The sequence below is a fragment of the Homo sapiens genome, chromosome 5 (assembly GCF_000001405.40).
Source record: "Homo sapiens chromosome 5, GRCh38.p14 Primary Assembly".
Lineage (NCBI taxonomy): Eukaryota > Metazoa > Chordata > Mammalia > Primates > Hominidae > Homo > Homo sapiens.
Window position 1 is genome coordinate 148,418,353 of NC_000005.10, and position 25,107 is coordinate 148,443,459.

The 25,107-nt window shown below is 37.5% G+C and overlaps 1 protein-coding gene and 1 pseudogene across 11 annotated transcripts in view, besides 1 other annotated feature; both read left to right on the plus strand.

The window, feature by feature from the left end:
* FBXO38 (F-box protein 38) overlaps nt 1-24,484 on the plus strand; it is a 58,879-nt gene extending 34,395 nt beyond the window's left edge. For 4 of the 11 annotated variants that reach the window (XM_024446223.2, NM_205836.3, XM_047417787.1 and 1 more), the window contains 10 exons: nt 5,646-5,765; nt 7,170-7,349; nt 8,861-9,595; nt 15,072-15,172; nt 15,283-15,385; nt 19,980-20,146; nt 21,295-21,440; nt 22,072-22,175; nt 22,772-22,885; nt 23,617-24,484. In XM_024446223.2, coding sequence (XP_024301991.1) covers nt 5,646-5,765; nt 7,170-7,349; nt 8,861-9,595; nt 15,072-15,172; nt 15,283-15,385; nt 19,980-20,146; nt 21,295-21,440; nt 22,072-22,175; nt 22,772-22,885; nt 23,617-23,795 — 1,949 coding nt within the window. In that variant the 3' untranslated portion in view covers nt 23,796-24,484. Of the gene's footprint in view, nt 1-5,645; nt 5,766-7,169; nt 7,350-8,860; nt 9,596-15,071; nt 15,173-15,282; nt 15,386-19,979; nt 20,147-21,294; nt 21,441-22,071; nt 22,176-22,771; nt 22,886-23,616 lie in introns of those variants that run through there. The other 7 variants (XM_047417784.1, NM_030793.5, XM_047417786.1 and 4 more) reach the window with 5 other exon arrangements.
* PRELID3BP9 (PRELI domain containing 3B pseudogene 9) lies at nt 302-904 on the plus strand (annotated as a pseudogene).
* Nucleotides 19,021-19,221: a silencer, noted in NCBI's record as "peak5528 fragment used in MPRA reporter construct". NCBI's record gives its function as "represses an SCP1 promoter by STARR-seq MPRAs in K562 erythroleukemia cells {active_cell/tissue: K562}" and the evidence as "EXISTENCE:reporter gene assay evidence [ECO:0000049][PMID:32103011]".

Below are 25,107 nucleotides of genomic sequence, written 5' to 3' on the forward strand. Positions count from 1 at the left end.
AGCTCAAGGTTTTAGTACCAACTATATGGTATTAAATCCAAATCTTTGTTTCCAGCCTTAACTTGTATACTTTTCTGAAGTAAATGCAGCTATATCTAGCTCTGTACTTTATGTCCATGGTATACTCTTAAGCATTTCAAACCTAGGTAAAATCTTTCCCCAACCAGTCTCCCTTAAAAATGCAAAAATGAAAGTGCAGAGCCAACAGGTGTTAAGGGAAAGAGAGGGCGAGACAGTCACGTATTGTCTCTTTGCTTTGTTGTCCTGAGTGCTATGGTACATAGTACAGGTTACTACCACTATAAAGATCTGCACTTCAGAGGACATGGACTGTACGTGGGAAACTTACAGCAGCTGCCATTCAGAACTACCCAAATCCTGTGAACTCATTTGTGGTTTGAGTTGACACACAGATTGTAGACTTCACTGGAAGATTACTTTGCCATGGACTTCTCAGTACAGTGGAGAATGCCTGCCATTGTGAAATCATATATTGTTGCAACAAGGACCAAAAAGATATTCAAGAACATGTTTGATTTAATTTGTATCTGTATTTGATTTAAGAGAGGAAAATGGAACTTACATCTTAATTTGATTTATAAATACGGTTTCAGAAGATGAGAGATTTGGCATAAAAACCAAATACACAAGACATAGGATAAGCTATTTTGATTTAAGAAGCCATAATTACTATGGAAGGATTCAGCTTCAGCAGTTACCTAGGACTGTTGTCAAGTATAGTATCTTCAAATACTGTTAAATGCTGAGAAGCAAAGAATAAATACATAATGTATAAAGCATAATTGTATAAAGCAATACGTAAATGCCAGAATTGAAGGATTAAACAGCTTCAACAAGAGGAAGCCTAAGAAAACCAGAGGCAATGGCTGCATTTGTAGAGAAATGAAGATTGGTAGAAAACATTAGATTCCACAGGTCACTCCCACATGGTAGTGTGTTTAGTTGTATCTGTTATTAAACATGTATACACACACACACAACACACACACACATATAAGTTAGATTTTTTTTTCCCGCAAACTAAGGAACTAGAAAAAGACTGATTTTTGGTTGAAACAAAGAAATACAGGGCTTCATAATAAAAGGGGTAATGGGGAATTATGTTAAACAGTTGACTAATATTGATGGTTCAAATCTTCAAGTGAAAATAATAATTTTAAAATTTCTTTGAAACTGGTATTAACATGTTGACTCTCCTTGATGTACAATTTGAAAACTTTTCACGTCTGGGCCAGGTGCAATGCACATGCCTGTAACCTCAGGAGGTTGAGGCGGGAGGATGGCTTGAGTGGGGAGTTTTCAAGGATGTAGTGAGTTATGATCACACCACTACGCTCCAGCCTGGGTGACAGAGGGAGACCCGGAGTCTTAAAAACAAATCTTTACATGCATGGGCCTTTACTTGGTTTTGGACCAGCCCCAGAATGAAGTAACACCAGTCTTTATTGCTGTATTGTATTTAACTTCTTCAGCTTGCATGAGGTAATTTACTGTAAAAGAGGGGCATTGTATAATTTTAAAAGCTATTTAATTTGTATAAATTAACTCCAACAAAACTATGATTTTTTGTTTCACAGTTACTATATTTATCAAAATTTTATAATTTGGCAGGATATTATCTTAAGTTTGTATTTTGAGAAGTCTTAGAACTTAGAGTACTTAATTGTGAGCTAGTTAGCTGAAAATATAACTTGATTACCTGAATTTTGCAACATTCTAAAATAAGAATAAATGATTACAGTTTTTTTGTGGGGTTTTTTTTTTTTTTTGAGACAGAGTCTCACTGTCACTCAGGCTGGAGGGTAGTGGCATGATCATAGCTCACTGTAGCCTCAAACTCCTGGGTTCAAGTGATCCTTCCACCTCAGCCTCCCGAGTAGCTGGGACTACAAACGCGTGACACCACTCTCAGCTGATTTTTCAAAAAATTTTGTGTAGAGATAGGGTCTTACTGTGTCGCCCAGTCTGGTCTCAAACTCTTGGCCTTAAGTGATCCTCATGCCTCAGCCTCCCAAAATGCTGTGATTACAGGCATGAGTCAGTCACTGTGCCCCACAATGTTGCTGTTTTTTTAACAATTTACATTTGCCTATAAGTGTCACAATTATGCTTCTGTAATTGCTAAAGCATAGTGTCTATTTTTATGTAACTACTTTCTAAGGAATTACAACTTTAAAGCATAGTTTTACCTGTACATCATTTAACTAATTTTCTATTTTGATTTAACATACATTCCAGTTACTTAATGCTTTTAAATACAGCGTCATTCCCTCATCCCTCCACCCCATTAGCCTGAATTAACTACCAAGTGAAATTGCTCTGCAGCTTTATTTATGGCAGTGGTTTTCAGACTTGAGTGTGCATCACAATCACCTGGAGGAATCAGCACATTGCTGATTTTTGCCCTCAGAGTTCCAGTTATTCGGCTGTGTGAGGCCAGATAATTTGCTGTTTTTTGTTTTTTTAAATAGAGTTGGGATCTCATATGTTGCCCAGGCGGTCTCAACTCCTGGGCTCAAGCAATCCAACCAACTCAGCCTCCCAAAATGCTGGGATTACAGGTGTGAGCCACTGCACCAAGCCAAGAATTTTAATTTTTTTTTTTTTTCTTGAGACAGAGTCTCACTCTGTCACCCAGACTGGAGTGCAGTGGCATGATCTTGGCTCACTACAACCTCCGCCTCCTGGGTTCAAGCGATTCTCCTGCCTCAGCCTCCCGATTAGCTGGGACTATAGGCGCGTGCCATCACACCCAGCTAATATTTTGTATTTTTAGCAGAGATGGGGTTTCACTGTGTTAGCCAGGATGGTCTCCATCTCAACCTCACGATCCGCCCACCCTGGCCTCCCAAAGTACTGGGATTATAGGCATGAGCCACCACGCCCGGCCAAGAATTTGAATTTTTGAAAAGTACCCAGGTGGAGCTGATACTGCTGGTCTGGGACTATACTTTGAAAACCACTGATTTTGTAAAATTTTTATTTTTGAAGCCTAAGGGCAAACTACAGTCTGAAAAAAAATCCCAGTAAATGTATTTTGTTTTACACTTTGGGGCAGGTAGTTGTCAACCACTAAATATTATATCTGATAATAAATTTCTATTAATTTATGCAACAATTTCACTGCATAAAAATTATTTTGTTAAGAGGCAATGAATTCTTTATAAGACTTTTTTACAGCTGAAATAACATTTCAGCTAAACAAAACATTTGGTGAATATTGATATTTGATTCTAAGTTAGCATACATATATATGTATACATATACATATATATATAACTTTCTGTAAGTTAAAACTGTTCTGAAAAAGATGTACTACCTTAATGATAAAATATTTTCCAACAAAGGAAAAAAGTCAAAACCATGAATCATTTGTATCTTCACTAGCCCAGGGGCATCACCATCCAATTTAATTACCAGAGACTAAAATCAAGACATTATGCTTTTTGTCAAAACCAAGAATCACTTGTATCTTCACTAGCCCAAAGGCACCATCATCCGATTTAATTACCAGAGACTAAAATCAAGCCATTATGCTTTTTTTCTTTACTTCCTACCTGCTCTCCAAGACGTTGAGTCATTTACCAACTCTTGTTGAATGTCTCTGAAACATCTCTCCAGTATGCCTACATCTCTCCTTTCCCATTGTACTACCACTACATCAGACCTTTCTCTTTTTTTTTTTTTTACCTAAATGTTTTAATAGCTTTCAAACTGGCCTATTTTCTTGCCCAGCTAAAATTAGTTCTTATAGCAACCAGGGCAGTCTTTTAACAACAAACCAAACAATATTGATACCTTACTCAAAACTTTTTAATAGCTTCCCATTGCCTTAGAATAAGATCCAGCTTCTTAAATTGGACCACCAAATGCTGTACGATCTGGCCTGCCCTCATCTTGTACTACTTCCACCACTACATCATTCTTGAACATGACAGCTGGTGCCTAGCATTGCACTAACTACTGCCTCCTAGAATTCCCTCCTTCCATGTTTTCATGGCTGGCTCCTTCTTGACTTTTAGTTCTTAGCTGAAATGTTAATCTCAGAGATGTCTTTCCTTGCCATCTGATCTTAAGCAGCCACCAGTTTATTCTCTGTCACATCACACTTTTTGTTACATAAGGCATTACTATCTGATGTTTTTATTTTTATTTTTAAAATTTTTTCTCCCCCAACTAGAGTAAGCCATGAGACTAGGGATCTTGAATTTCACCACTGTTTCTCAGCTCCAAGGAATACTAACAAATTGTAGTAAGATGCTCAGTAAGTATTCAAATGAATGCAATGAAAGAAATCGTTTAAACAACTTTTGGGTATCATATTAAATGTTTGCACAGGCTATTCTGGCAACCTAAAAGCAGTTGATCAGCAACTTTGGAAAACCTTATCACATTGATGTTTGAATGTACTTCTTTTCATGCCATTCCCTGCATAAAAACCTAGTGGTTTCCCTCTGCCTACTGCAAACAATTCTAAGCTTTTTAGCAAGGCTTTCCAAGCTTTTAACAATCTGGGGCCCAGGCTACCTTTTCAGCCTTGTTTTTTCTTTCGCATCTCTATCACAACACAGATAACTGGTTTGTTTGTTTGTTTGTTTGTTTGTTTGTTTGTTTTAACCACTGGACTACTATTCTTCCAAAAAATGTAGCATTCTTGTATGGTGGTATATGAAATGTCACCTTATTTCAGTGAACCCTTCCTTGACCCAATGAGAGAATTAGTTGTTTCTTGTCTGTGTTCCCTTTGAACTTTTGAACTGTTATAGCTCTTAGCAAGTATATTCTGACCTTATTCTATGTGTCTAACATCTTTGCCAGAATGTGTGCATCCTCTTTAAGAGCAAGGAGTATAAATTTCCCACTTGCTCATAGTTCCTGTAGTGCAGTAGGCTCTAGAAACTCCTCAGGTTAAATCCTAGCAAACTGTTAAAACCTCTAGACCTCCATTTCCTCAACTGCAAAAATCAGGCTAGTAATAATGCCCTCACACAAGATTGCTACGAGAAATAAATAAGAAAATGTTTCTATAAACATTTAGCATAGAGCCTGCCATAGAGTATGTACACATTAATTACTGCTACTCATAATTGTTAGTCAATTGAATGAAAGAAGAAAATTGATTGGCTTTTATCATGAAAGGTTTCTAGGCAAGGTCATTTCTCATTTTGGCAATAACCAAAATATAGATATTGCAGGCTAGAGCTGGGCAATTATTCAGGGGGAGGTGTGCTGTTGTGCTTGTTTAAAACCAAAGCAATTCCCACTGTCCCTGTGAAATTTCAAACCTCTCCCATATAATTCAGTGACATTAATCTGAATGGCATCTTTTTGGCTTAATCATATTTTGCCTTGTTTCTTTGTTAACTGTTTGAGTTTGTATGAGTTTGATGGGCTTTCTCCAACAAATGATCCTTTCCCATCTGTGATTTTCTCTCCTGTAGACTGATTAAATACTTCTTAATATCTGCAGTAACAAGCACAGTGTATGCAGTATATGCTGTTCTTTCAGGGCAGGCCTAGTAATCAGCGGGACTGTTCAGTTCTTAGGGCGGCCACAGTTTTGCCTGCCATTGTAGTTCTTTATACTTCTTTTGGTTTTTACTTTGTGTATATTTTCGTTGAAGCATTAAATGAGATGGAAGACATCGTCCAAGAAGATGGAGAGGTGGTGGCCGAGAGTGGAAATAATACTCCAGCTCACAGCCAGGCAATTATTCCTGTGGATGTTGATGAGGAACAAGCAGGTAATCATGTGATCCATCCCACATTCATCATTCTGAAACTACGGCCTAACTGTAATGAAGTACATGAGACAGCGAGAATGATTGTTTTCTGACCTTTCAGCTAATGATACGTTTTATGCTATTGATTACTGAGAACTGTAATACATTGCTGGTATTCTTGTTGCATGTATCTTACTAAAGTTTGTCTTTTATTATTTGTGACTGCAGCAACAACTGCTTTTTCTTTATAGCCACGTGTGCATGAGTTTGTCCATGTATGTGTAGAAAAAGAAAACACTCAAATTGTTGATGGGAAAATAAATGACCTGATTAAATATTCTGCTATTGCCCTCCCCTCAATTCAGTTAGAGAGGAGGAGCAGTTGAGAAGTTGACCTGGTTTAGTAAACAAACCAAAACCTAGCGTCTGTTTGCCATTGGCTGACTTAAGACAGGATATAGAGTCTTAGGCCCTTAAAGATTAACTCGCATAGCCTTTCATTTTGTAGATGGGGAAATTAATTTTCTTTCAAAAGTTTAAATGATGTGCTCAACACCACTCAGCCAATAATCAAGGGACAGAATTGAAATTGAGAAAACTGAAGTTTTCTCATTCTCTGCCTGTTAGAATGCTACCTTGTCTTTGAATCGAAAATATGCTACCCTGTTTTAAGAGTGTTAGAGATGCAGTCACTCATTCAACAAATATTTATTGAGTGCCTACTCTGTGTCAGGCATTGTACAATGTGACAGGAAAAAAGCTAGGTTCCTTGGAGCATACGTTTATTGATGGAGCTAATATTGGTCACTTGTCAGAGAGAATTAGGTTATAAGAACTAGGTTTAAAAGCTATACTGCCAAGCAGATAAAACATTTTTTACATAAATACACATATTCAACCAAAATGTAACATGCGTCTAGCCTTCAAAAATGTATCTGCTACATCTAATGAGATAGATCTATACTCAAAGAATATGGAGTCTTATTTACCAGTCCCATATGTTTCTGAGTTCATCTTCATTTACTAGCCTTGGCTCATATGTTTGAAAAATTGAGAAAATATATAGCTTAGTTTTAAAATTATTATCACTGTTATTTAGATTATTTTTAGGATGATTTTATGATACTCTTTGAAATAGTGAAGGTCCTGCAAGGGGATGCTGTATCATTTTCTATTTTAATTTGCCTTTGGAAATGCATCAAGTTGGTTGGCATATTAATCATATTTAATGTTGACATAATGGTTTAGAGTTGAGTTGCTTTCACAGTATCTTATCCAAGTGCATTATCAGTTAAAATGTGTGCCAGGGGAGGCTGTATAGAGCCACAAAGCATCTCTGTTGATTCCAGATCCCTGGAAACAGTACTTTGCATTAGATCCTTTCTTGCGCAAAAAGTAACTGTTAGGCCTGTGCTTTTTTTTAAGGACCCAGTGGTCTTCAGCGTGTAGTAAAACCAACCTCAATTACTGTTCATGATTCAGAGAGTGATGATGAAGAAGATAGTCTAGAACTCCAAGAAGTCTGGATTCCTAAGAACGGTACTCGGCGTTACTCTGAACGTGAAGAAAAAACTGGAGAGTCAGTGCAGTCCAGAGAATTGTCAGGTGAGAAATTGTCTTTCTCTGAACTATTAATGAGAGTCACTATCAGAACTGACACACTTGGCCTTAATATGACAACTTGGGTGCAGTTAACATATATTACGGAATGTGACAGGAAGCAAGAAATGCACTTGCCCAAGTAAGGGAAATCTGGGTGGTGCTCTTGTAGGCAATACAACACAACAGTGTTGTGGAATGAGGGCTCAGGGAAGAAGAGAAGTAAGGATTATAAGTCTACAGTGGAGGCTTCAGTTGTGGCATCAGGGTGTCAGAGATTAGTGAGCGAAAAGCCTGTGCCTTATGTAAGGGATGACTGCTGAGTCATCCAGAGCAATGAAAAGCAACCATTCCCCAGTTGATAATCTGTCCAGTTGTGCTTAATGAATATTGGTGGCTAGTTTGGTGCTGGAAGGAGTCCTAAAGCATATTTTTATAATCCCTCACATCCCTTTAAATCTAGGCAACAACCCTCTGCAGTGCCTCACCAAGAAACTGTACTTCTCTCTTAACTTTGAAGTTCATACTTCTTCCTTGTCTTTCCTTCCCTTTGGTTTCGCAGAACCACGTGCTTACCACTTTTAGCAAAAGATGGATATTTTGCAAATTGTGCAGTCATTTTTCCTTGGGTACCCTTACTCCTTAATATTTTTGAATGTTCAAAACACATTTAACACTGACCCTGGAACATTTATGTAGTACTATTATCTGGAAAGTTTAGTTCTTTGGACTTGAAATAATTTGCTAATCATTGACTCATTATTCAATTTTTATTTCTTTTAAGAAATTCAGATAACTTTATAATGTGGTTGAAAGAAGGTTTTATGGAAACTGAAATTTAGGAAAAGTAATATGACCAGCTGACTAACCTACCTTCCCAGACAGTGCAGTTTCTAAATTTAGCAACTAAATCCTCTGTTGGCCAGACAAAACCTATTTATTCCTTTATATCTTCATTGAGCCTTACTATGCCCCAGGTACTGTGTTAGGCACTGTGAGGGATACAGAGATGAGTAAGTCATGGTCTGTCTTTACAGAAGTTCTAGTCTAGTTGAAGAGTCATGTCAAAAACAATAGGTAGTAATATTACAGGGCATATACTACAACTACAGTTGCTTTGGGGTGGGGGTGCAGAAGAGATGGAGTAGAGGACCAGGGAGGACCACAGCTGACAAATTGGTGAGAACAAAGCCCCTGAGGTAGTAAAGCAGGGGTATTTTGAGAGAAAAGCTGGAGCTGGAATGTAGAATGTATATGGAGGGTACGACATGGAAAGATGGTTTGGAATCAGATCATAGTGAGGTTTGAAGGCATAGCTAAGGAGTATAAACCAGATAGACACTAGGGAGCCATAGAGAATTTTATAGCAGCTCAGTGATGTGATCACAGTTATACTTTAGGAAAATTAGTGTTTAGTATACATTATTTCCTGTTCCAAATTTACTCTTGCGTTTTGTCCAGAATTTATACTGAAATCTTTTCTTTTCCTCGGGCCGTTCTTCTTTTTCTATAAGCAGTAAGTGGAAAAGGCAAGACTCCACTTCGAAAGAGGTACAACTCCCATCAGATGGGCCAGTCGAAGCAGTTTCCCCTCGAGGAAAGCAGCTGTGAGAAAGGCTGTCAGGTCACCAGTGAGCAGATCAAAGCCGATATGAAAGCAGCTAGGGATATTCCTGAAAAGAAAAAAAACAAGGATGTTTATCCCAGCTGCAGCAGCACCACCGCCAGCACAGTGGGAAACTCCAGCTCACACAACACTGCTTCTCAAAGCCCCGACTTTGTAAGGACGGTGAACAGCGGCGGCTCTTCCGAGCCTAGCCCTACAGAAGTGGATGTGTCCAGGCAGTGTGCCTGCTCCCCCGGTGGGTCAGAGGACTCTGAGGCCATGGAGGAGGGAGATGCAGAGAGTTCTGTCTGCCCCAGATGCTGCTGTCACAGGCCCCAGGAATCCCAAAGGAGAACTAGCAGGTGTTCTGATGAGGAACGTCCTTCAACCAGCCGAGCCTGTGTTGTGAATGGCCCGGATGGTACGAGATCCGCCTTTTCCTTTAGGACTCTGCCACAAGGGGGGTCTTCAGGCCCAGCACATGATGAGAGGACTAATGGGAGTGGCTCTGGGGCTACAGGTGAGGACAGGAGGGGGAGCTCCCAGCCTGAGAGTTGTGACGTGCAGTCTAATGAAGACTACCCTCGGAGGCCCCTAACCAGGGCCAGGAGCAGACTGTCCCATGTACTGCTGGTATCTGAGTCAGGTATGACAATGCTCCTAGGATTAGCAACTGCAGGGTAGGGCTGCAGAAAGGCATGAACTTGTTTCATGAGTTTTCTTACAAAAAGCCAGTTTGGCAAATTAAATTCTATTTTGGGGTTTTGTGGGTCATGTGAATTTTGAACTAATTTCAGCAATGGTTTGGAGGGTGGGTGTGTAAAACAGTTTATAAAATGTCCAACCTGGAAAGCTCAAAATAGTTCAGCTTTTAAGGAAAATGTCATTGTGTATATTTACCCTAAATATAACACTGACTGACACCTAAGCCCCAGTAGATGAACTCTGCTGCCATCACACACTTAGAGAAGTCTTAACTTAGGAAAGTTTTAAACTCAGCCAAAAGGCAAGGACTTGACGTTGCTGGGGCTGGGGGAACACATCTCAGTGCAGCTTCCTGTGTATACCCCTCTTTCTGTCTCTGCAGTACTTAGTAATTTTTTCAGAAATCTAGTTTTGCTTCAAGTAAGATTTGCCAGGAGATAAGCAGGTAAGTAAATGGTTTGGCTGAGAATTATTTTGGTGAAAATACTCAAAACATATATGTGTATTTAATTTCATTAATGTTTATAATGTGTAGCCATGGATTGGGTGTAAGCATATTTATTAATCATAAGTCTGTTACTGTTTCTGACCTTATTTTTAAGTACTCTTTCCTGCCTTTATTATATCATTACTGCCTGACAGTGATAATAATGTATTTTAATTTTCTTCAAGTAGCCCTCAGTTTTAAAATCTTAAAATCAGTCCCAGAACATAGGCAGTCAGTGCTTTTTGTATATTCAAAATAGAACTAATGGATTCATACAGAGCTAAACAGAACAAAAGTAAGCTTTCATGAGATACATTTGAGACCTTAGTTATGTGCTAGTTACCATAGTTGCATAAACTCATTGAAATATATGAGTTTTATTTGAAGACTTTTTTATGCTTTGCAAACAGTGGTTCTGCCATATGGTGAAAGTACTTTTCCCAGCTTAAATTGTAAATGTTTGATAATATCTTTTTTTTAATTGGTGGTAAAATATAACTTTACCATTCAGTGTACAGTGTATAATTCAGTGGCACTAAATACATTCATCTTGTTAGGCAGCTGTCACCACCAACCATCTGAACTTTTTCATCATCCTGAACTGAAACTCTGTGTCCATTAAACAGTATCTGCCTCCTATGACACCTTTTGTTGTGTGGTTTTTCGTATTTGCAAAGTCAGATATGCATGTTTTCCTTTATGAGTTTATTTTTATGCTGCGAAAGGCCTTTCCTACACTTGGTTCAGATAAATGTGCGCATCTTCTTATTCCTTTATTCATTGATTTCAGTTTAGTTCCTTAGTTCAGTTGGAATTTTATTTCAATATGTGGGAGCTAATTTTTTTTTTTTTATTCCAAACTATCACCATCTTGTTTCAATATTGGTTATGGATGTCCATTCTCGTGCTATGATTTTGAAATGCTCTTTTATCATCTACTAAATTCTTTGACATACTTAGGTTGATCTCTGGTCATTCTATTCTGTTCTGGTGCTCTGTCTTCTTTCATTATTCTTTTTCAAAATTTCCTTGACTAGCCATGCATTTGCCATTTATTTTTATAGATGTGTTTTGTAATATTTTTATCAAGTTCCAAAAACTAAGCTTGGTTTTTGTTTGAAATTGCATTCAATTGATAACTGAAACATAATTGTCATTTTAACAGCACTGTGTCTTCCTGTTTAGGGACTGTTATGTTTGTCGTTTTACTTATGTCTCTTGATAAAATTTTACCGTTTTTTGTTGTTTTGTTTTTAATACAGAGCCTTCATATTAGCCATTGAAGTTTTGATGTTATTTTTTGCCTTGTGTTCTGCTTATCCCTTAACTATTTTATTCTTTTTTCATGTCTAGAACTTTTTCTTAAGTTAAATCATTCTCTGGATTTAAAATAAAGAAAATATCATTTATGTAGTGCTTTTTATTGCTTTTATTATGTGATTTTTTTCAATTTGAGAAGACTTCTAATGTCTGTAACATGGTCATAGTAGGTAAATTATTTGCTAATGTATTTTAGATTTATAAAAATGTCTGTTTACTTTCAATAGTATTTTTTTGGGGGAGATATCAAAGTACTGATTTTAATATTATTAAAGTCCCTTTTGGAAAAAACAAGAAGTTATTTGGGTAGCTTACAAATTATAATTATAATTATTATTATTATTATTTTTTTTTTTTTTGAGACGAATTCTCGCTGTGTCAGCCAGGCTGGAGTGCAGTGACACCATCTTGGCTCACTGCAGCCTCCGCCTCCCGGGTTCAAGTGATTCTCCTGCCTCAGCCTCCCCAGTAGCTGGGATTACAAGCACCTGCCACCATGCCTAGCTAATTTTTTATTTTTTTTTTATTTTTTTTTGAGACGGAGTCTTGCTTTGTTGCCCAGGCTGGAGTGCAGTGGCGCGATCTCGGCTCACTGCAAGCTCCGCCTCCCGGGTTGACACCATTCTCCTGCCTTAGCCTCCCGAGTAGCTGGGACTACAGGCGCCTATCACCATGCCTGGCTAATTTTTGTATTTTTAGTAGAGACAGGGTTTCACCATGTTGGTCAGGCTGGTCTCAAACTCCTGACCTGAGGTGATCCACCCGCCTCAGCCTCCCAAAGTGCTGGCATTACAGGCATGAGCCACCACACTCGGCCCAAATTATTTTTAATCCGGCATGTTTTTTAAAGAGAAAAATCCAAACTAATAAAGGAAGAAACTTGAATGTTAAAGATTTTTAAAAATCAGTTCAAAAAATGTAACGTTTGAGTTCTTTGGTTTTTAATTTATGGCCCTGTGGAGTGTTAAAGCCATTTTAGAAGCTAATATAATTGTTTTGTGAATTTATATTTTGGGAATAAATAACTAAGTTGCTTTTAATCCTCACTGTATAACAATTTATAAATATTAGAGAAATATATAATTGGATTGTCAAAGAATAACATTTAAGATTAGTTGCTATAAATATTAAACACTTTCCCTGACACCCCAAGACTGGATTGATCTGCCTTTCTCTGTTTCTGTAGCATCTTCAACATTAATGTGAACCACACTCTGTTGTAATTTCTTGTTTTACTGTCTTCCTTTCCAGTAGACTGTGAGCTCCATGAGGACAAGGACAGTCTCTGCTTTTTCACCAGTATATTTCTATCCTTTAGCACCATGTCTTACACATGGAATGGGGCTTAGATAATAACTATGAACATAATAAGTATAGAAACCATCATATGAGGTATTGTTGATACTAGCGGATGTTTTGAGTTACTAAAAAATGTTCCTAAACAAAATTAATTGTCTCTAAACAGGGAGGGAGGCATAAGAGAATAATAACAAACACACAAACTTTCTTCCTCATGCATCAGAAATGTTTGTTTTTCAAGCTCATGTATGTATGAAGTGTGACTTCATTTTATAACTTTGCCTAGAAAATGTAAACTACCAGTTTGGGTACCCTGGAGAGCAGGAAACTTTACCTAATTTTGAACCCCATGCTCTGATAAATTAAAGGGGAAGGGAGAGAGCAATCCAGGAAGGTGAGATACTTGAAAATCAGATCATAAAAGTATTTTACTGAGAGATCTTTATTAGAACACTGTCATGTAGTGGAAACAGGCTTGCTTTTTGTTTGTTCATTTTCATTTTTGTGGTACTGGGAGAGGGAACCAGGACTTACTAATGAGGTTTTAAAAGGATTGTGAATTTTGGCTATCAGGTGAAATGTGCTGCCTTTAGAAGGTTTCATGTCAATGAAGATTGTTTGATTTTGGATGAAGTTCCTTCAGGATACTGTGGGAGAAGGCCTACGTTGTGTTGTGTGGTCAATAGTCTTCATGTTTTGTTGGAACTCCAGAATTTTGCTTAGTTTCAAGGTCCTTGGAGGAAGTTTGATGGGTAGAGCTCTTGGGCTCCTTTTCTGCCTTCAGCCAAAGCAGCTGCTTTGAATTGTTTTACAGGGTAGAATTTCACAAAGACTTCACATGGTGGAGAAAGGATTTGGTGTGTAAAAAAATCACTTAGGCTAAATCTCTGAAGTTCCCATCTGACCCCAAGCCTTTAGGAATTTGCAGTATTTGTTCAATTTCCTTGTCTTTTTTTGTGATCTTTCATGTTTGAGATTACAGAATTACTGATAGTACAGAATTACCAATAGAATGTTTATAACTAGCAGTACTATCTAAAAAAGCAGTATAGTGGTGATTTAATTCATGAAAGTCAGTTGTATTCAATATATGCTCTGCTACAATATGATTAAGTATCAAAAACAAGGACAATGACTAATGTATTTTCTTAGAATATATATGTGCTTAAGTTTTAGCTATTAGCACTTGTTTTTAAATTAAATAAGGACAATATTTGCTTATTTTGAAGTGTATTGCTTCAGAACAATACTAGTAAATAAGTTAGGGCATTATTAACCAGGGTTTGACAGACGAAAGATTGCAGGTTTTCTAGCTTAGTGACTGGTGCTAGATTTCCTGGGTTTGACTCCTGGTTCCCATTTAACACTGTGGCAAGTTCTTGTACCATCCCATGCTTCAGTTTCCTAATATGTAAAACAGGGAGAACAATAAATCCATCTCAGAGCTATTATAAGGATTAAATGAGTTAATACGAGTAAAACCCTTAGAACAGTGCCTGACACACAGTAAGCGCTCAGTAAATATTTGTTATTCTGTTTTACCTGTGATGCATTCATTCATTCTGTAAGTGTTGAGTGCCAGTTCATTCAATAAACATTCATTTTATCCCTTTGCTAGTGACTGACATTGAAACAAAGATGAATTAAGAGAGTGTTGTTGCCTTTAACGAGCTGTTATGTGAATGGACCAACAAAACAAGTATAAAAGGAACTATAGGACAGTATGTAATGTTTGAGGATCCAGGGTGCTTTGTTAAAACTAAGTGCTTGAGTTGGACCTTTCATAGATGGGTCGTATTTCAAAAAGTAAGGTCAGAAAACGTGTTCTGGGCAGAAGGAGCTAGAGCAATTGATGACTTCAGAGACATTGGCAGTGGGAGATGACTAGAGTATGGTATGGAGAGTGGACAGAGCTGAAGCATAGCTCCAAATGTGAAGCATTGAAACATTCACTAAGCTGCAGTCAATAATTTAAAAGTTTTTTAGTAGGAAAGATAGGAGTTCAATTCACCAATAGTATTTAGGATGGGATGAGTCAGAGAGCCTAGAAGTAGGAATGTTTATTAGATTATTAGGATGACCTAGGCATGAGAAGGGTTGTTATGTTTGATGTAGATATGTTTGAAGTAATGGAGGGTGATCCTGTTTTGAAACAATCCACTGGAAATACCAATGTAACTGTATTCCACTGGGAACCAAATTGTAGATTTGGGAATTACCTTGATTATGTTCATACGTATGTGATTGAATGTGCTTGAGGGAAAGAAAGCAAGGCTAAAATTTGGATTTTCTTTTTTTTTGCCTTTTTTAGAAGTAGCCAAAACAAAGCCACGTCACGCCATGAAACGGAAGCGGACAGCAGATAAATCCACTAGTACAAGTGATCCTGTGATCGAGGATGACCATGTGCAGGTAGAGAAAAAACCCTCACTTACCTTTATCACAGTCTAGCCCAGTTCCTAAATAATGCACATAAACTAAAGTTTGTATCTTTATATAGTTTCTAATTTTTCTGCTTGTAGGTTCTTGTATTAAAATCCAAGAATCTTGTTGGAGTCACTATGACCAATTGTGGAATCACAGATCTAGTGCTAAAAGACTGTCCAAAGATGATGTTCATCCATGGTATGTATTTGGGCCCATATTATACAAGAGTATCATGAATGAGTTAAAAGAATTAGGAACTCATAAATACTGTAATAGCATTACTGTCTTATTTTCTTAAAGGAAATATTGTGTTGGGTTATCTTTAGTTCCGCCTTTGTTCTAGTTCTCAAATTATTACTCCATAGTATTTCTGAGCATCATATATAGAAACTTCGTTCATCTTTTAAAATAGCCTGTCTCCAAAAGATAATTACTGCCTGATCTGGCAGAGTAAATAACAGCCTGCACAGGCTTTGGAGTCAGATAGACCTCAGCTTGATTGCTGGCTTGGTCATTTACTAGCTGTGTGACTTGGGCATGGTTTTTGAGGGAAGCAGCGGTTGGGCCTCAAGTGTATAACTGCTCTGTATTTGATTGAGATGATTAATTGTATCTTTACTTTGTGGCCCATTATCATTAATCCAAGCCCCTTTTTCTTTTTAGTCTCATGTCCCTCATTGTTAATCTCATCTGCTCCCACCATCTACACTCGTGTATTAAATATATTAAATATATATCTTTCCAGTGCACCTTTTATGTCTTTCTTTATATATGTGTCTGTCTCAAACATAGGGCATTAGTTTTGTGCTTTCTTAAAATTTAGGTACATAGTGTATCCTATAATTGATCTATTAATTTTACCTTTTTTATTCAAAATTATATTTTAGATATCCATCCATGTAAAATTATGAAGATCTGACTTATTTACTTGCCTTGGGCAAGTTATATAATTTTCTGTCTTCATTTTTTTCAATCTGTAAGCCGTGCATAATTTTGCTTAACTCATAAAGCATTTGTGAAAGTTAAATGCAGTGATGGATTTAAATGTTAAATGTTTGTGTATGTGTATGTATACAGGCACACCTCAGAGACACTGCAGGTTTGGTTCTAGACCACCATAATAAAAGGAATATCACAAAGTGAATCATAAGAATTTTTTTTATTTTCCAGCACATATAAAAGTTACGTTTATACTATAGTCTATTATATGTGAAGTAGCATTGTATTTTTTTAAAAAACTTTACGTGCCTTAATTTAAAAACACTTCATTGGCCAGGCACGGTGGCTCACGCCTGTAATCCCAGCACTTTGGGAGGCTCTGGCAGGCAGATCACCTGAGACCAGGAGTTTGAGACCAGCCTGGCCAACATGGTGAAACTCCGTCTCTACTAAAAATACAAAAATTAGCCAGGCGTGGTGGCTCATGCCTGTAACCCCAGCTACTTGGGAGGCTGAGGCAGGAGAATCACTTGAACACAGGAGGCGGAGGTTGCAGTGAGCCAAGATCACGCCACTGCACTCCAGCCTGGGCAACAAAGCAAGACTCTCTCTCAAAAAAAAATAAAATAAAATAAAAACATTTTATTATTCAGAGATGCTAACAATCACCTGAACCTTTAGTGAGTCATAATCTTTTTGCTGGTGGAGAGTATTGCCTGAATGTTGAGGGCCTTGCCCTGGGTTAGGCTTTGGCTTAGGGAATGTTGTGGCTGGTTTGATTTGTCTAGACCACTCAAACTTTCTCCATATCATCAATAAGGCTGTTTTGCTTTCTTATCATTTGTGGGTTCACTGGAATAGCACTTTTAATTTCTTTTGAGAATTCTTCCTTGGTGTTCACAACTTGGCTAACTGGCGCAAGAGACCTAGCTTTTGACCTATCTCAGCTTTCAACGTGACTTCCTCACCAAGCTTAATCATTGCTATATTTTTATTTAAAGTGAGATTTGTGGCCGGGCGCAGTGCTTTACGCCTGTAATCCCAGCACTTTGGGAGGCCAAGGCGGGCGGATCACGAGGTCAGGAGATCAAGACCATCCTCGCTAACATGGTGAAACCCCGTCTCACTAAAAATACAAAAAATTAGCCGGGCATGGTGGCGGGTGCCTGTAGTCCCAGCTACTAGGGAGGCTGAGGCAGGAGAATGGCATGAACCCGGTAGGCGGGGCTTGCAGTGAGCCGAGACTGCGCAGCTGCACTCCAGTCTGGGCGACAGAGCAAGACTCCATCTCAAAAAAATAAATAAAAAAATACAGTGAGATTTGTGACTCTTCCTTTTACTTGAACACTTAGAGGCCATTGTAGTGTTATTAATTGGCCTAATTTCGACATCATTGTATCTCAGGGAGTAGGGAGACCTGAGGAAAGGGAGAGAGACAGGGGAACAGCCTGTTGGGAGAGCAGTCAGGACACACACAACATTTATTAAGTTCACTTATATTGGTGCAGTTTGTGGCACCCCACAATTAAAACAGTAACATCAGAGATCATTGATCATAGACCACCATAATGGATAAAATAATAATGAAAAAGTTTGAAATACTGCAAGAATTATTAAAGTGTAACCCAAAGACTCAAAGGGAGCACGTGCTTACTAAAAAAATGGCACCAGTAGATGCTCAATTCATGGTTGCCACAGACCTTGTGTAAACAGTGTAATGTCTGCGAAGCACAATAAAGTGCAATAAAATGAGAAATGCCTGTATATGTATATATATACATGACATATGCACACACCCACACACACAGTACAGGGTCTGACCTCTAGTAATGCCTAGTGATGTTAATTTGTATTATGTTAGTGCACGTTGAGCATCTCTAATCTAAAAATCAGAAAGCCCAAGTGCTTAAAAATTCAAAACTTTCTGAGCACTAACATGATGCTCAAAGGAAATATTCATTGGAGCAGCATTTCAGATTTCAGATTTTTTTGATTAGGGTAAGTATATAATGCAAATACTCCAAAATTTGAAGAAAAATCTGAAATCTAAAACACTTCTGGTCCCAAGCATTTCAGATAAAGGTTCGTCAACCTGTATTGCCAAAAAATATTGAGGTCTATTTTGTTTTATATCTCCTACCATATTAGTAGTAAACAAAGAAATCCCATTAAAAGGTATTTACCAAACATATTGTCATAAACTGAGGAGAACCCAAGAAAGGAGAGATGAAACTGAGATTCAAGCACTACTTCTCCTCTGAATTCTACAAAAGTTCAGACCTTGGGGACCCCAGACTCTATTGTTTACTCTGAAGTAGTAGTACTTTTCTCTATCCCAGCCAATGTGGTCTTTGGTCCTAAAACATCTTAAATTACTATCTCCTATTGGAGTTTCCTTTTACAGTGGAGAACACAGGCTCTTCAAAAGCTCAGAGATTGTAACAGTAGGGGTACTCACCCTAGCCTTACAGTAGCACTGGAAGAACTTTCATTCTGTCAGTACCTACACCCTTTGAGCTCTGAGAATGTAAAACTCAATCTTCAGACTCTGCCAGTCGGCATCTCGTTCCATTCCTTTCTCTACTCTGAGCTCTCCGAGAATCTGACTAGTTTTCTTCTTTTTACTTTGATGATTTCTCCTGTACCTTCTCTAACCTAATGATGGATCACACGGCCTCAGGCCCAACCTTCTCCCCTTTAAACCAAATTGTTTGGCTCAGCTTATCGTGGTGAGAGGATCTTAGCTTAGTCTGTAGGTAGTGGCTAAGTTAATGACAGCGGAGATGATTAAATGAGATTAGAACTGACCTTAGTCATGTCGGATTTTATAGCTAAGAACCACTGGATCCTTACTGTCATCTAGCGCTCTCCTTTCCTCTGTTGCTGTCCTCAACAACAGTTCCCCTTCTTTCCACCAAGTCACAAAAGGAGAAAATGAACGTGAGAGGCGGGAGTCTCTCTCAGTGTTTAAATGTCAAGTTAGTTACATTAGATTGCACAAGACGATGATGACATTTGGGTCAAGGATGTTACAGATGTCTGTGAAATGTTAAGATCAGACAAATGAGCCTGTGGTTTTATAATCTTTTCCATTTGATCTCTCTCAAGTTGGACCTGGTTGAAATCTGCAGTGAAAATTGGACCAGGTTGAAATTGGAGATTAAAAAAAGAGAAGGAAATATTTTTCTGAAGTTGATATACTAGTTCAGTTAAATGTGTTTATTATATCAAAATTACTTTTTTCTGACTTCATGTTTTATATGTCAAACAGAAAAACTAATCATGTTTTAGATGAGCATTTCAATAGAACTTTAATGTTCTGTGTCTACACTGTTCAGTATTATGGTAACCACTAACCACATGGCTACTAGATTGGACTGAATAGCTTTAGACCAAAGTATCCAAATGTGTTTCTGGGTCTTTTTTTTCAAGGTTCTACTTTTACGTTTGTGACAGGAATTAAAATCCAACTCTGCTCATTCCTGAGAGTGAATGTAAGGTAACATAGGTGAATTATTTCAGGTCTGACTATTGACTATAAAAATGTATAATAGTTACTCATTTTTTAAATAAATATTTCCTAAACAGTTTCTGTCTGGGCAAGTCATTTTCTGAGACTTGGTTTTCTTAACAGTAAAATCTTAGAAAAAGGCACTTTAATGCCCCTTCTACCTTCTTTTGAATTGAACAGAACCACATTTTCAAATTTTTTTGTTAACTGTGATTTGTACTCTATGATATTATTTGACCTCTGTTAAAGATGTTTGTTACTGCAGTATTTTGTGCCAACAAAAATTAGGCCATCTCTCCAAAGATGATATGTACGGAGCTTACCATTGTTTTCATTTTGTAGCTACCAGGTGCAGGGTACTAAAACATTTAAAGGTAGAAAATGCACCAATTGTAAACCGATTTGACTATGCACAGTGCAAGAAACTGAACATGGATCAGGTACTAGACCAGATACTAAGAATGCCACCCGAGAGAAACCGCATCATATACCTACGCCCAATGCAGCAGGTAACGAGCTTTGCTTCTTTCCGATGATACACATATTGTGGTGTTTTTCTTTTTCTTTTTCTTGTTAGTCTTTAGCCTTTTGGATTTGGCATTCATTCACTTGCCCAACCTACAGTAATGATATTTTAGTTTTTACAGGTTATGTATGATATAGGGAGTTGTTATTCAACAGGTTTTTATACTTATTAAAAGTTACCTGTGGTTTAAGAGCACAGTCTCTGGTTCAGACTGCCTGATTAAATTTCTGGCTGTCTGACCTGTAGCAGATTATTTGACTTCGATGTCTTAGTTTCTTCATCTGTAAAATTAGAATAATAATGATATACCCAGGATTATTGTGATATTTAATATATGTGAAACTCTAAAACATGTGCTAGTATATAGTAAGCCATCATATAACTACTGTTAGTGTCATTATCATTATTAAGAGTATATTGTATATAAGGTTCTGTGCTTAATGCCAAAAGAGGGTTTAAAGGAAATTTTAAATGCCTCTTTGTAATCAGTGTGTAAGCCTGGCCTCAAAAGAGTCAGTTCATCATATTGTCAAGTGTCTCAAAACTTAAAATATGCTGGGTGCAAATAAAAACACAACACATGATCCTTCCCTCAAGGAGTTTGCCTTCCCAAAAAGGAGACAAACACTTATGCCACGCAGATGGCCGAGTGAGATTTCATAACTAGAGATGGGGGAGGGTATGCCATGAGAAAAAAGCAATGTTATCAAAGGCTCCTAGAAGACAAGAAAATGCATTCTCTCTTAAAGACTGGGCAGCAGTCTCATTTGAATAGGGTATATGTTACTACACATTCACAGTTCTATAATGCAGTCAGTACTTAATAAAGGACATACACAGAAGTGGATTCTGAGTTGACTGACGTCATTTATCTCAATCAGGATTCTCTGGTTTAGTAGGCATTTAAATATAACAGTGAGATATAAATTGCCAAGTTCCCTAGACAGAAGAATTTGCAAAATTATTCCCAGCATGACAGACTGTTTTCAGGTCTGAATGTGACTATTTGATTTTCAAATCAGCCAGAGATTTCAAAACTGAAGGTCCATGGAAAGATTGTTCAAGCTCTCGGAGAGAGATTTCTAAGGCATTCTCTTTGTTGAAGACATCTCTTTATGATGTCTTCCACAGGTGGACACTCTAACTTTGGAGCAGAAGCTATTTAGTGGTCCCTACCCCTATCACATCTGTATTATCCATGAATTCAGTAACCCTCCCAATGTCCGGAATAAGGTGCGCATTCGCAGCTGGATGGACACTATAGCAAACATCAATCAGTAAGTAACTTTGTGGCCCTTAAAGGCCTTTTGAGTCATTTCTCATAGCAGGGACTCCCAGAAGCAAATCCCAATTTTTCTTTATTTTAAATGATTCCATCTAAGCTTTTCAAACAAGCTTATCCTGAAGTTAACGTAAGTAAGAAACTGAGGGAAATGAGGACTTAAAACTAAAAAGCATGTGTATATATTTATGATCTTTAAAACTCAGGTAAAAATTACAAGAACAGATTGCACATGTACTTGTAACATTATTTAGCCTTGGGGCATGAAAAAGAGATCAACTTGAAGAAGATCTTAAGACTATGATATTCTATATCATCAGAAAATTTGACTTTTATAAATTTGTTATATAAATGTTGCATTAAGCACCTTTTGTGTAGAAGACATATGCTTAGAAAGTGACTTTCTTTCCCTGATATGATTTTGAAGATAGTGAAGAAAGTAGTTTTGACCTGACTACACTTGGATTCTCTAGTTTGAGTGTATCCTACTTCCGTTAGGTATTTGATGTTTTGTTTGAGATGTTCGGTAGAATCTGTGTCCGAAACAGTTTTGATGGTTCCTTCCTACCCGACACTAATTATTTCCAGTTTTGTAATTTTTACTTAATTTTTCCTGTTGCTTCCAGAGAGCTCATTAAATATGAATTCTTCCCTGAAGCCACTCGAAGTGAAGAAGACTTAAAGAAATACCCCAAGTACCCCTGGGGGAGAGAAATCTATACTTTAGAAGGTGAGTATTTACAAATGTTTAGAAAGTTAAATAGCCTGTGCAGTACTTACCTCTGTAATCCCAGCGACTCAGGAGGCTGAGGTGGGAGGATCACTTGAGCCCAAGAGTTCAAGACCGGCCTGGGAAACAAAACCTGGCCCTTTCTCATTCACGGATGAATGAATGATCCATCAATCAATTAGTCAAACTGGTTTGGGCTTACAGCAAGCAGTAACCCAAATGTAGAGAATTACACTTTTTAAAAAAAGAAAGTTGAATAGCTATTAACTAGATGACCGAACATGCCTTAGGGAAGATATGAATGGGGGTCCTACAGTTCTTCAAAATATGGATGATTTTAATACCTGCAAGAAGTGGGAGCCAGATGAAGATTGCTTTGCCTGTATGAGTCTTTACTATTTCTAGGACAATCAGAACCAGTGATGAAACATAAAACGTAAACAGAAATTACAAATTAGTTTGATAGCTGGAAATGATTTGAGGACACCTGACTCACTCTCTTTATTTTATATTTTACATTCTGCTTACAAAATACTGCAGAATTTGGCTCTGTCAGCACTCCCACGCCAGTTAGCAATGTTACATTTGTCTTTTAGGTGTTGTGGATGGAGCTCCATATTCCATGATTTCTGACTTCCCTTGGCTGAGGTCATTACGAGCTGCAGAGCCCAACAGCTTCGCTCGATACGACTTTGAAGACGATGAAGAAAGTAATTATGACCTGACTTGACATCTATTCTCTAGTTTAAGTATAGCCTACTGTGTTACATACTTAATATCTTTTTGTGAGTTAGGAGCAGTGCAGTGTTAAATGGTTTCCCATAGAAATAATTTGTATTTACTCACTTCAAAACAGTTCTTTATTTGTGCAGTAGATGTTCAGTGGACTTACTAGGGATATATAAAGGCTGGTAGAAAGGATTCCTTTAGACAGATTTTCCTACAAGATTTTTATATTACCTAAATATTTATAATCTTATTTATTAAATAACTTCAACTATATTGTTTCAAAATTGTTCCAATTGTATTATTCTCCTGCTAGTTATGAGCTGCTTATTGTGTGGAAACTTATAATTTAGGTGTAGAAATTAGGGGAGAAATTTTTGAATGTAGTTTCTCTAAGTGGTAGCATACTTGAATATTTATTGTTAACCAAAGGTTTTTTAAAAATACTTTATAAGGAAATGGATTTTATGAACTACATGTGCATGTGTCTGACTTGCCTTTGGTGCAGTATTTTTACCTTGAGACTTTAAGCATGTATTCTGTCTTAGGCATCAAACATAAGAACAAACTGGTGGTGACCCATTCCTTGACCTATTCATGCATCAGTTACATTATAGTGCAGTATATGGGACTGTCCTATGGACCAGCTTATCAGTGATTTTCCAAATGATTCTGATTATCATATGTATCTCTCCTTTTATTTCTAATTTCAAAGGCACTATCTATGCTCCTAGAAGGAAAGGACAGCTGTCTGCAGACATCTGTATGGAAACAATAGGAGAGGAAATTTCAGAGATGCGTCAGATGAAGAAGGGTGTATTTCAGCGAGTAGTGGCAATTTTTATCCACTATTGTGATGTCAATGGAGAGCCAGTTGAAGATGACTACATTTAATTGGTCCCTCCTCCTTTCCAGCTATTTTGTCAGAAAGCAAGTAGGGCCATCCAGCTGCCAGAGTGCTCCACAGGGACTTGAGGCATGCAGTTGGGAGGTCCTGGCTCGGTTTGCTATATAGGGAATATATAAGGAACATCGAAATTGTATACAAAGATTTGTACATAAAAAATATACAAAGACGCTTCCTAAAGTACCAACTTTATATCATATGTTTATACAATTTAATTTAAAAATTCATTTTAAGGAAGACAGATAATTTGAAAGACTTTTGTTTTTCTTGACTTAATTCATGAAGTATCATTTTTTGACTGAGTCTCCATTTACTTCATTCTTAATGATTATTGTCATCCCTTTAAATCTGTGCCTTTTTCTTCTTGAGCGAAGCTGTTTGAGTAAACCTGTTGAAGAGTGTTTGTGTCTTTTGTGCTTTTTTGTTGTTATTAAAACACCAACTAAACCTTATAGTCAAGACAAGGCTCTATGTTTCTGTACAAAGCTGTAGTTCTTTCTTAGTATTATAGTTGCCATGTTTCTTAAAATCAAGTAAAAAGACTTATGAGCTTAAAAAAAAGTGAGTTTGAGAGGGAAATGGAAAAGTTTCCAGAGTATTTCTAGTAATTTATTTCCACATTGAATTGTGTATATGCTTTATCTTGAATATAAAATAAAAGTTTATTAAAAACTTTTCTCTTGCCTTGGACCTGAATCCCTCTTTTTAAAGAAGAGTAGCAAATACTGCACAGAAAAGCAGTGTATATATAGAGTTGTATCTAAGGTAAGATTCCAGTGTAATCCAATTTCTGATCTCTGAAAGTTTTTAGCTACAAGATGTTCAACTCACATAACTTTTTTTGTTTGTTTTTTTTGGTTTGGTTTTTTTTTTGAGATGGAGTTTCACTCTTGTTGCCCAGGCTGGAGTGCAATGGCATGATCTCGGCTCACTGCAACCTCTGCCTCCCAGGTTCGAGTGATGCTCCTGTCTCAGCCTCCGGAGTAGCTGGGATTATAGGCACCCGCCACTATGCCTAGCTAATTTTTGGTATTTTTTAGTAAAGGCAGGGTTTCACCATGTTGGCCAGGCTGGTCTGGAACTCCTGATCTCAGGTGATCTGCCTGCCTCAGCCTCCCAAAGTACTAGGATTACAGGCAGAGCTCTTTAAGGCAATACTGGGAACAGCAGAATTTTCCAAACTTCTTGTCATCAGGAGATGGCCTTTCTCCCCTTTCAAGGTGAGGAATTAATTGCCCTGATAAGGCAGTGATATACATAGTATTACAGTGTCAAGGGTCGTCAGCAAAAGCTTTAACA